The sequence below is a fragment of the Homo sapiens genome, chromosome 19, assembly GCF_000001405.40.
Source record: "Homo sapiens chromosome 19, GRCh38.p14 Primary Assembly".
Classification (NCBI taxonomy): domain Eukaryota; kingdom Metazoa; phylum Chordata; class Mammalia; order Primates; family Hominidae; genus Homo; species Homo sapiens.
Window position 1 is genome coordinate 11,687,607 of NC_000019.10, and position 10,405 is coordinate 11,698,011.

At 46.8% G+C, this 10,405-nt stretch overlaps 3 annotated features.

The window, feature by feature from the left end:
* Positions 6,399–6,543: a transcriptional cis regulatory region, noted in NCBI's record as "candidate enhancer chr19.1989 targeted for multiplex CRISPR interference". NCBI's record gives its function as "positively regulates ZNF700 gene expression with high confidence in K562 cells {active_cell/tissue: K562}" and the evidence as "EXISTENCE:mutant phenotype evidence [ECO:0000015][PMID:30612741]".
* Positions 7,304–7,363: a silencer, noted in NCBI's record as "silent region_10126". NCBI's record gives its function as "represses an Ori minimal core promoter by ATAC-STARR-seq in GM12878 lymphoblastoid cells {active_cell/tissue: GM12878}" and the evidence as "EXISTENCE:reporter gene assay evidence [ECO:0000049][PMID:35858748]".
* Positions 7,474–7,523: a silencer, noted in NCBI's record as "silent region_10127". NCBI's record gives its function as "represses an Ori minimal core promoter by ATAC-STARR-seq in GM12878 lymphoblastoid cells {active_cell/tissue: GM12878}" and the evidence as "EXISTENCE:reporter gene assay evidence [ECO:0000049][PMID:35858748]".

A 10,405-nucleotide genomic window follows, 5' to 3' on the forward strand; every position in this document is an offset into this window, starting at 1 on the left:
CATGGGATGGACCCACAGCAGGTCACTGGTACCATGATAGAACACACACAAAAACTTATGAATGCTGTCTGTGGACGGGTTAGAGTCAGTCCTTCACACTGGCTAACTGGGCCTAAGTTTTAAAAAGAGCTAAGCCGCCACTTGTTAACTAGGGGTCACAAGCACTGTGAGTTTCCTGAAAACCAACACCTTTTTAACTTTGGGGGCTCACCTGAGCTAGTCAATCAGAGCTCAGCTGTATCAACCAATCAGAACTGAGTTTCAAGTTTCAGATCTTCATTTGCATAAAAGCACTTGACTAGGAACCCAGATGGGAACTTTTGCTATAAAACCTAAGCTTTCCCTTGTTCTCTGGAACAAATAATGTTTAGGTTGCAAACTCCTTATGCCTTTTCCCCAGAACTATGTAGAAATAACGCCTTCTAAAATGTGATCTTGATACCAGGGAACTCCTTTTTTTTTTTTTTTTTTTTTTTTTTTTTGAGTCGGAGTCTTGCTCTGTTGCCCAGGCTGGAGTGCAGTGGCGTGATCTCAGCTCACTGCAAGCTCCGCCTCCCAAGTGGCTGAGAGACAGGTGCGCACCACCACGCCCAGCTAATTTTTTGTCATTTAGTAGAGATGGGGTTTCACCCTGTTGGCCAAGATGGTCTCAATCGACCTGACCTTGTGATCTACGTGCCTCGGCCTCCCAAAGTGCTGGGATTACAGGCGTGAGCCACCGCACCTGGCTGATACCAGGGAACTCCCAGAGCAAAGCACTAAATACTTTCATTCCTCTAAGGTCTATGACTCTAATCAGCAGAAAGTAGTTAGAGCAGTTATCATTCCTTTTCCTTCAAGACTTAGGAATGAACATAATAGGAGGGATTTGTAACCACAACAGATTATGTGGTACAACTTCTATATAACAAAGCTGAGTTTTCAGTTGCCATGGACCCAACACTCAAGGTCACATAATCTGAGCATGCCCAGATGAACCAAATGTGTAACCATGGGTGGAACCTATATGCTTGGACTGAGGTGTGGAGATTAAAGTAAAAAGTAGATGCTGGGCACGGTGACTCATGCCTGTAATCCCAGCACTTTGGGAGGCTGAGGTGGGTGGATTGCCTGAGCTCAAGAGTTCAAGACCACCCAGAGCAACATGGTAAAACCCTGTCTCTGTGAAAGATACAAAATATTAACCAGGTGTGGTGGCGCACACCTGTAGTCCCAGCTACTTGGGAGGCTGAGGCAGAATTGCTTGAGCTCCAGAGGTGAAGGTTGCAGTGAGCGAGATCATGCCACTGCATTCCAGCTTGGGCTACAGAGTGAGGCTCTGTCTCAAAAAAAAAAAAAAAAAAAAGATACCACATGGTGGAATCTAGGATCTAATCAGGTTGGGCCCCGGTATCATCCCATGGCAGGATCCAATCGAGTCACATTAACCTGGCATGAGATCATTGCAAGATGCAGTGAGTTCATGTCTTATTACCCCACGCTTATAAAACTTGCCAAAGCCCCCAGCTCAGGGAGACATATTTGAGCATTTCTTCCTTTCTCCTTGCCAGTCAAACTTGTAGTAAAGCTTTTCTTTCTTCAAAAGCTGGTGCCATGCTATTGGCTTGTGTGTACATCTGGAAGTGAGCCAATTCACTACTTGCTAACATAACAAAGAATCAGCAACTGTGAAGATGAAACAATTAAAATTATCCAGTCTGGGCCAGGCGCGGTGGCTCACACCTGTAATCCCAGCACTTTGGGAGGTCCAGGTGGGTGGATCACCTGAGGTCGGGAGTTCGAGACCAGCCTGACCAACATGGAGAAACCCTGTCTCTACTAAAAATACAGAATTAGCTGGGTGTGGTGGTGCATGCCTGTAATCCCAGTTACTTGGGAGGCTGAGGTAGAAGAATAGCTTGAACCAAGGAGGTGGAGGTAGCAGTGAACCGAGATTACGCCATTGCACACCAGCCTGGGCAACGAGAGTGAAACTCCATCTCAAAAAAAAAAAAAAAAAAAAAGAAAGAAAAAAATTACCAGTCTGTGGAAAAGAAAGAGGAAAGAAATTGAGAGAATGTGTTACTAGTATACCTGCCTTGCCAGTCATGTTAAAGTTCTTCAGAGCGAAGGAAACTGATACAGGTTAGGAAAGCAGATGTTTCAGAAATAAAACTTGTTAGAAAATAATTAAATGAGGGCACAAATATGATTATCTTTTCTTCTCCTTCATAGATAAATGTTTGTTCAAATGAATATCAACAATGTATTGGGTGGTTATAGCTTCTAACAGGTCAAATGCGTGACAGTGATATTATATGGGATTGGAAAGAGGAATTCAGAACACTCTTAACATATTGGCACTACCCCAGACACCAGTATAGTGTTATTTGAAAATGAAAGTCCATTAGTTGCAAATGTATACTGCAAACTATGGAATTCACTAATAAAATTTAAGAAACAAGTAGACTTACTACACTAATAGAAGCAAGCAAATGGAATCATATAGAACGCTCAATTAAAAGGCAGAAAAATAGAGCAAGTAGAAAAAAAGCACAAGTACAACAAACAATATATATGAACATATTAATCTATGTCAATTACCACTTTGAATGTGTATTTTTTTTTTTTTTTGAGATGGAGTCTCGCTCCATCGCCCAGGCTGGAGTGCAGTGGTGCCATCTCGGCTCACTGCAAGCTCCGCCTCCCGGGTTCACGCCATTCTCCTGCCTCAGCCTCCCGAGTAGCTGGGACTACAGGTGCCCACCAACACGCCTGGCTAATTTTTTATATTTTTAGTAGAGACGGGGTTTCACCATGCTAGCCAGGATGGTCTCAATCTCCTGACCTCGTGATTCATCTCAGGAAGACAAGATGGGTGGATCACTTGAGCCCAGGAGTTCTCAAGACCAGCTGAGCAACATGGAGAGACCCTGTCTCTACAAAAAATAAATACAAAAATTAGCCAGGCATGGTAGCACACGCCTGTAGTCCCAGATGAGGTGGGAGGATTGCTTGAGTTCGGGAGGCACAGGTTGCTGTGATCACACCACTGCACCCCAGCCTGGGTGCCAGAGACCCTGTCTCGAAAAATAAATAAATAAATAAATAAACCAAAAAACCTGATTTATCTGAATTTAATATAGCCGTTCCATACTTTTGAGTAGGGCTAGAATGGCATATATTTCACCATACCTTTCTATTTAAGGTATCTGTGTCTTTCTGTTGAAAATGGTTATCTTTTACACATTGCTGGGCCTTGTTTTTAATTCTACTCTGCCAGTGCCTGTCTTTTTTACTGGTGTATATAGATAATACACATTCAGGCCGGGCGCGGCGGCTCATGCCTGTAATCCCAGCACTTTGGGAGGCCGAGGTGGGTGGATCAACTGAGATCAAGAGTTTGAGACCAGCCTAACCAACATGGTGAAACCCTGTCTCTACTAAAAATACAAAAATTAGCCGGGTGTGGTGGCATGCACCTGTAGTCCCAGCTACTCAGGAGGCTGAAACAGGAGACCATGGAATATTCACCAAGGCAGACCACATAGCATAAAACATACCTTAACAAATTTAAAAAAATCAAATTCCATAAAATACGAAATCAAACCGTATTAGCATTAAACTAGAGATCAATAGCAGAAGCATAGTTTAAAAGCCTCCAGAAAGTAAAGATTTAAACCACAAACTTCTAAACTATGCAACAGACAGAATTCTCCAGAGATACTTAAATATTCCAAAAATTGAAAAAAACTTTTAGCAAAATTTGTAGAATACAGCAAAGGCAGTGCTTAGAGAGCTATTTAAATAATTAAATGCAAACTCTTGAAAGTAAAGATCTAAAAAACAATGCTGTAAATTCCACCCCAGGAAACTAGAGAAAGAAGAGCACGATAAATGTAAATTAAGGAGAGGAAAACAACGAGAGAAGATATTAATGAAATTGCAAACAGGAAATCAATGGAAAACATCAACAAATCCAAATCCTGGTTTTCTGAAATGAATAAAATTGATAAACACCCATGCTAACTCACAAAAGGGTGGGCATCTCTAAGATTTCCATGAACATTAAAAGAACCATAAAGGAATATTAACTCCATGCCCATAGATCTGATAAATTACAAGATGAGGCCGGGCGCGGGGTGGCTCACGCCTGTAATCTCAGCACCTTGGGAGGCCGAGGCGGGCGGATCACGAGGTCAGGAGATCAAGACCATCCTGGCTAACACAGTGAAACCCTGTCTCTACTAAAAAAAATACAAAAAATTATCCGGGCGTGGTGGCTGGCACCTGTAGTCCCAGCTACTCGGGAGGCTGAGGCAGGAGAATGGCGTGAACCTGGGAGGCGCAGCTTGCAGTGAGCCAAGATGGCGCCACTGCACTCCAGCCTGGGCGACAGAGCGAGACTCCGTCTCAAAAAAAAAAAAAAAGTAAATCTGAGATGAGTTACAGATGTCTTCAAGGTGACAAATCCATGGAGGTGCAGTGCTGACTGAAAACAGACAAGTCTGACTCAAGTATCAGGTCAGGTTCTCCTATCATCTGAGACATACCCCTTCCCATGCTGCTCACTGAAGTGCTGAGTGACCGCCCTCCCAGGAGACACTGCACTGTGTGCTTTTGAGGTTCTTGTACCACATCATTGGGGGGTGGGTTTTCCTTTCCTTAGGGTTAGTTTTTACCCTTCACTATGTGGCAGGCCAGAGTCTCACTAACACAGGCTTCCATAACAACTGTTTCAGCACTGAGTGGTTAAATATTAAAAGTCGAGAGAGCCGATGCCTCTAAACAAAGGCTGGAATGTAACAAAAGCCCAACAAGAGTTTTGCCCAGGCCTTTCCTGGGCCTTGAAGCATGACAAGATAACGAAGGAATTCCTTTTTTTTTTTTTTTTTTTTTTTTTTGGAGACGGAGTCTTGCTCTGGGACTATAAGTGCATGCCACCATGCCCAGCTAATTTTCGTATTTTTAGTAGAGATGGGGTTTCACCATATTGGCAAGGCTGGCCTTGAATTCCTGACCTCAGGTGATCCACCCAAAGTGCTGGTATTACAGGCGTGAGCCACCGCGCCTGGCCCAGAAAACAGCGTTTTGATTGAATACTATGACTTAAGAAATGTACACAAACACTCGATTCTAATGGGTATTTTTCCCTAGAAGGGTATGGATTAGCAATTCTGAAACTATTTTACATGTTAGAATATATGTTGTTATGTTATCTACAATATATGTTGTAGATAATTAGTGCCTGTTTCTCACTGGAGTTGAAAAAAGTAAAAGAAATAAAGGGACACTGCTAGAATGAACCCAGTGGTGCTAGAAATACAGCACCAGGGAAAAAGAATGTTTAATGTTGCTGTGAACTGAGGAGATGAAATCAGAGTCACAAAATGCAGGGAAAGAGCTTAAAAACCAAGGGATTTTAAGCCCTCGGAGGAGTTAGTTGAGGGAAGAGAGTGGTGGATTAGAAACCCTGATTCCCAAACCTTTGGAAGATGCAGAGGGATACCACTTGCCATTTAGGAATGTGAACTCAAAAGTATCTGAGACATGTTTCAATTTAGAAAGTTTATTGGCTGGGCGTGGTGGCTTACGCCTGTAATCCCAGCACTTTGGGAGGCAGAGGCAGGTGGATCACCTGAGGCCCAGAGTTCGAGACCAGCCTGACCAACAGGGAGAAACCCCGTCTCTACTAAAAATACAAAATTAGCCAGGCGTGGTGGTGCATGCCTGTAATCCCAGCTACTCGGGAGGCTGAGGCAGGAGAATCACTTGAACCCGGGAGGCAGAGGTTGTACCGAGCCAAGATGGCACCACTGCACTCTAGCCTGGGCAAGAAGAGTGAAACTCCATCTCAGAAAAAAAAGTTTATTTTGCCAAGGTTAAGGACACATCCATGATACAGCCTCAGGAGGTCCTGACCACATGTGTCCAAGGTGGTTGGGGTACAGCTTGCTTTTATATTAATACATTTTGGGGAGACATAATACATCAGTCAATACATGTAAGAGGTACATTGGTTCTACTTGGAAAGGAGGGACAACACAAAGTGGGCGGGGGAGGGGTCTGGTTCCCAGGTCACAGGTGGATTTTCCCATAAATGGTTGTGGAGACCAAAGTTTCATAATGCAGATGAAGCCTCCAGGTGGCAGGCTTCAGAGAGAATAGATTGTAAATGCTTCTTATCAGACTTAAGTTCTGTGTTGATGTTAATACTGATAGGCTTTTCCTGGGTTCCAAAAGGGAGGCAAATATAATGGGGCACGTCCAGCTGATACAGTTTGACTGTGTCCCCATCTAAATTGCATCTGGTATTGTAATCCTTTCGATTTAGGCTATTGCGCCACAGAGCCTGCTTGCAGGAATTGTAATCCTATTTGTAATCCCCATATGTTGAGGGAGGGACCTGCTGGGAGGTGATTGGATCATGGGGGTGGTTTCCCCCATGCTGTTCTCCTGATACAGTGTTCTCACGAGATCTGGTTACTGGATAAGTGTCTGGGCTCCTCCCTTCTCTCTCTCCCTCTCCTCCCTTCTCTCTCTCCCTCCTGCCACCCCGTAAGACGTGCCTTGCTTCCCCTTCTGCCATGATTGTAAGTTTCCTAAGGCCATGTGGAACAGTGAGTCAATTAAAAACTTTTTTTAAAAATAAATTACCCAGTCTCAGGTAGTATCTTTCCAGCAGTGTGAGAACAGACGAATACACAGACCACCCTTCCATGATGGCCTGAACAAGTTTTTCAGGTTAATTTTGTAGTGCCTTCGCCGGGAGGAGGGATCTGTTCAAAATGACTGGGGGGCTTAGAATTTTATATTTGGTTTAAAAAAGGAATAAAGGAATAAAGAAGGAACTGGGGACCCCGGACCGTAGCTCCTTCCACGCATGAACCCCGCACACGAGTCGGGATTCCCCCCATGACCCTCCCGTGGCCCCCGCACAATCTGGAGAGACGCGGGGCTGCGGGCGCGGAGCTGCCCAGAGAGGACTCCTGCCCGGGCCCGCAGTCGCCGCGAAGGGACGGGACAGGACGCCCGGGGTCCCGGCTGCCAGCCCAGCCCCACCCTGCGGCCGAGGGGACCGAGGGCCGAGCTCCGCCAGCGGTACTCCGGTCCACAGAGCCCGGAGTCGCTGGCTGGGAGGCCGGGGACCCGCCACGGCCAGTTCCAACCAGCCCCTCCTCCCGTCTCGGGATCCCTGGCCCCTCACGCTCACCATTTTCCGAATTCCTCCGTGTCCCGGGGGCCTCTCTGCGGCTCCCACGACCAGTGCAGGTCCCTGTGTGACAGAGGCTGCCGCAGACTCTCCAGAGTGCCTCTCAGCGACAGAGACAGGAGCCCAGCGAAGTGGCGTGTAGAAGACGCCGCGGGCTTTTTCAATCTCGCACCCTCTTAGCTGAAGTGCGCCTGATTGACAGTTCCCACGACCCCGCCCCACGGCCCTGATTGGATAGTGCGACAGATCCCGCCCCCTGACGACTGAGTTACAGAAGCGATCTCACGCTGGGGAGTGGAGACTGATGAACGAGTTCTTGACACAGCCCTTGGCAGGGCGGGCTTCTTCCCTGCGCTGTGACCTGACCCCTCCCAGGGGACATCTGCATTTAAGCAGGATCCCCCATCTGTACTCAGTGTGACCTTCCTGCTTTTTCCTCCTAGACTGGGGATCACAAGTGTGTGCAGGGAAACCCAGACACATTGTCCAGTGGAGCCATTCCCTGGCCTCGGAGTAGGAGGAGAGCCGAGGCCATACGGGCCACACTGCAACAAGAATAAGGGCTTAGGCTGGGCGTGATAGCTCATAGCCGTAATCCTAACACTTTGGGAGGCCGAGGCCGGTGCATTGCTTGAGCCCAGGAGTTCGAGACCATCCTGGACAACATAGTGAGAGCCTGTCTCTACAAAAAAATACAAAAATTAGCCTGGAATGGTGGCCTGTACCTGTAGTCCTAGCTACTCGGAAGGCTGAGGTGGGAGGATCACTTGAGCCTGGGAGGTCAAGGCTGCAGTGAGTCAAGATCGTGCCACTGCACTCCAGCCTGGGCGACAGAGTGAGACACCATCTCAAAAAAAAAAAAAAAAAAAAAAAAAAAATAAGGGCCCGATGTGTTCCAGGGATCAGGAATTTTGGATAAGTCTGTTGGCTGCATGGCCAAGCCTTTCTCCCACCTTATCTCTCAATCTACTGATTTTCAGCCAAGGAAGTAATAACATGCCAACAACGGAATAAAATCATTAAATGTATGGAAAAAGTGGAATCACATAGTAGCAATATTTTATAAGGAAATCGAAAGACAAGAAAAGCAAACACTCGAACTAGTTGAGATAAGTAGCCTGCTGCACCCACAGTTCACAAACCTGCAGTCAGAAGGTGATACACGTTCCCAAGCTTGTGAGTCAAACTCTGATGAGGCAGGGGCACTTAAAGATTTAACTCTGGGAACTCAACGTGGCCTCCTACTCCTTCTCCAGAGTGTGGAAATGCTCCTTCCTTCAAGACCTTCATTTTCTTTCTTTCTTTTTCTTTTTTTTTTTTTTTTTGAGACGGAGTCTCTCTCTGTCGCCCAGGCTGGAGTGTAGTGGCGTGATCTTGGCTCGCAACCTTCGCCTCCCGGGTTCAAGCGATCCTCCTACCTTAGCCACCCAAGGAGCTGGGACTACAGGCATGTGCTACCACGCCCAGCTAATTTTTTTTTTTGAGACACAGTCTCGCTCTGTTGCCCAGGCTGGAATGCAGTGGCACGATCTCGGCTCACTGCAACCTCCGCCTCCCAGGCTCAAGCAATTCTCCTGCCTCAGCCTCCCGAGTAGCTGGGACTACAGGCGCACGCCGCCATGTCCGGCTAATTTTTTGTATTTTAGTAGAGACGGGATTTCACCGTGTTGCCCAGGCTGGTCGCGAACTCCTGAGCTCAGGCAATTTGCCCACCTTGGCCTCCGAAAGTGATGAGATTACAGGTGTGAGCCACTGCACTCGGCCCACTAATTTTTATATTTTTAGAGAGACGAGGTTTTACCATGTTGGCCAGGCTGGTCTTGAATTCCTGACATCGGGTGATCCACCCACCTCAGCCTCTCAAAATGTTGGGATTACAGGTGTGAACCACCGTGCCGGCCAAGACCTTCCTTTTTGCCAGCAGGAAACTCTCATCTAAAAATCAGTTTAATGCATTGACCTATATAAACTGTCAAATTCATAACTCCTTTTCCAGAAGGCAATCTAATGAGTCTTTAAGTCTGACCTTCACAGATTTTCCTCCTATATACAAATGACAGCCTGCCTCCTGTGACTCTGTGCATGCCCAAGGCAAAGCACTTGAATGTACTGAGATCTTCAATATTTACAAAAGAAGATGGTCAGATTAAAATATTCTGTCTATGCCCTCAATGAGCAGGTAGTATAACAGGTTAGAGAGGACAAAATCAAATAAAATGGACATGGAACTTACCCATGATATCACAGTCTATCCTGGAGGATTTTTGTGGTTGTTTTGTTTTGTTTTGGAGACAGGGTCTCTGTGTCACCAAGGCTGGAGGGCAGTGAGTGGTGTGATCCCAGCTCACTGCAGCCTCAAGCTCCTGGGTTCAAGCCATCCTCCCACCTCAGCCTCCCAAGGAGCTGGAACTGCAGGCGTGCACCACCAGCTTGGCTAATTTAAAAAAATTTTTTGAGGTAGACACGGCGTGGCGGGGGGATGGGGGAGTCTCACCATGTTGCCCAGGCTGGTCTTGAACCCCTGGGCTCAAGCAACCCTCCCCCCTCAGCCTTCCACAGTGCTGGGAATACAGGTGTGAGCCACCGTGCCTGGCGATGGTTTCTAAAAAGCACTTTGCTTCAAAGGATTTAGAGAGCCACAGGTGGGTTCATCTGGGGCCAGTTAGACTGCTTGAAAAGGAAAGCTATTTATGCAATCTGCAGCTGCCTAGGAAATGGCCCCAAAGTTCCCAGAGTTACAGTCTCAAAAAGGACGCAACCCCCTAGCTGCATCTACATGTGGGTTTCCCGCTTTCCAGGGCACTGCAGCTTCTCAGAATCCACAGTCCTTAGCTGTTCTGAGCAGCTGGAGGCCATCCGCAAGGGTAGGCAGGATGCCCAGCTCCATTCTCCTCCCTTTGTAGGCTTAAGACTGGTGTCAGCTTAAAGTCACTGTCCTCAGGCTCTGCTGCCCACTCCAGGTTTTTAGGGCTCCGAAAACAATGATCCTCAAAACAGGTCTCAGAAGCAGAAGTTTTTCTCTGACCTTCTCTTGCCCTCCTGTCTCTCAGTCCCATTCTCCACCAAGGGTAGCCATAGAAGCTAGAATCCCTCTTCCCCAAGGCAGGTCATAGAATCCAGAACCCCTATTCCCCAAGGGCAGCCATAAAATGCAAACAGATAACTTTCCCTGTGCCTTCCTTTGGAAAAACTGGTCACAAAGAATTTATCTGA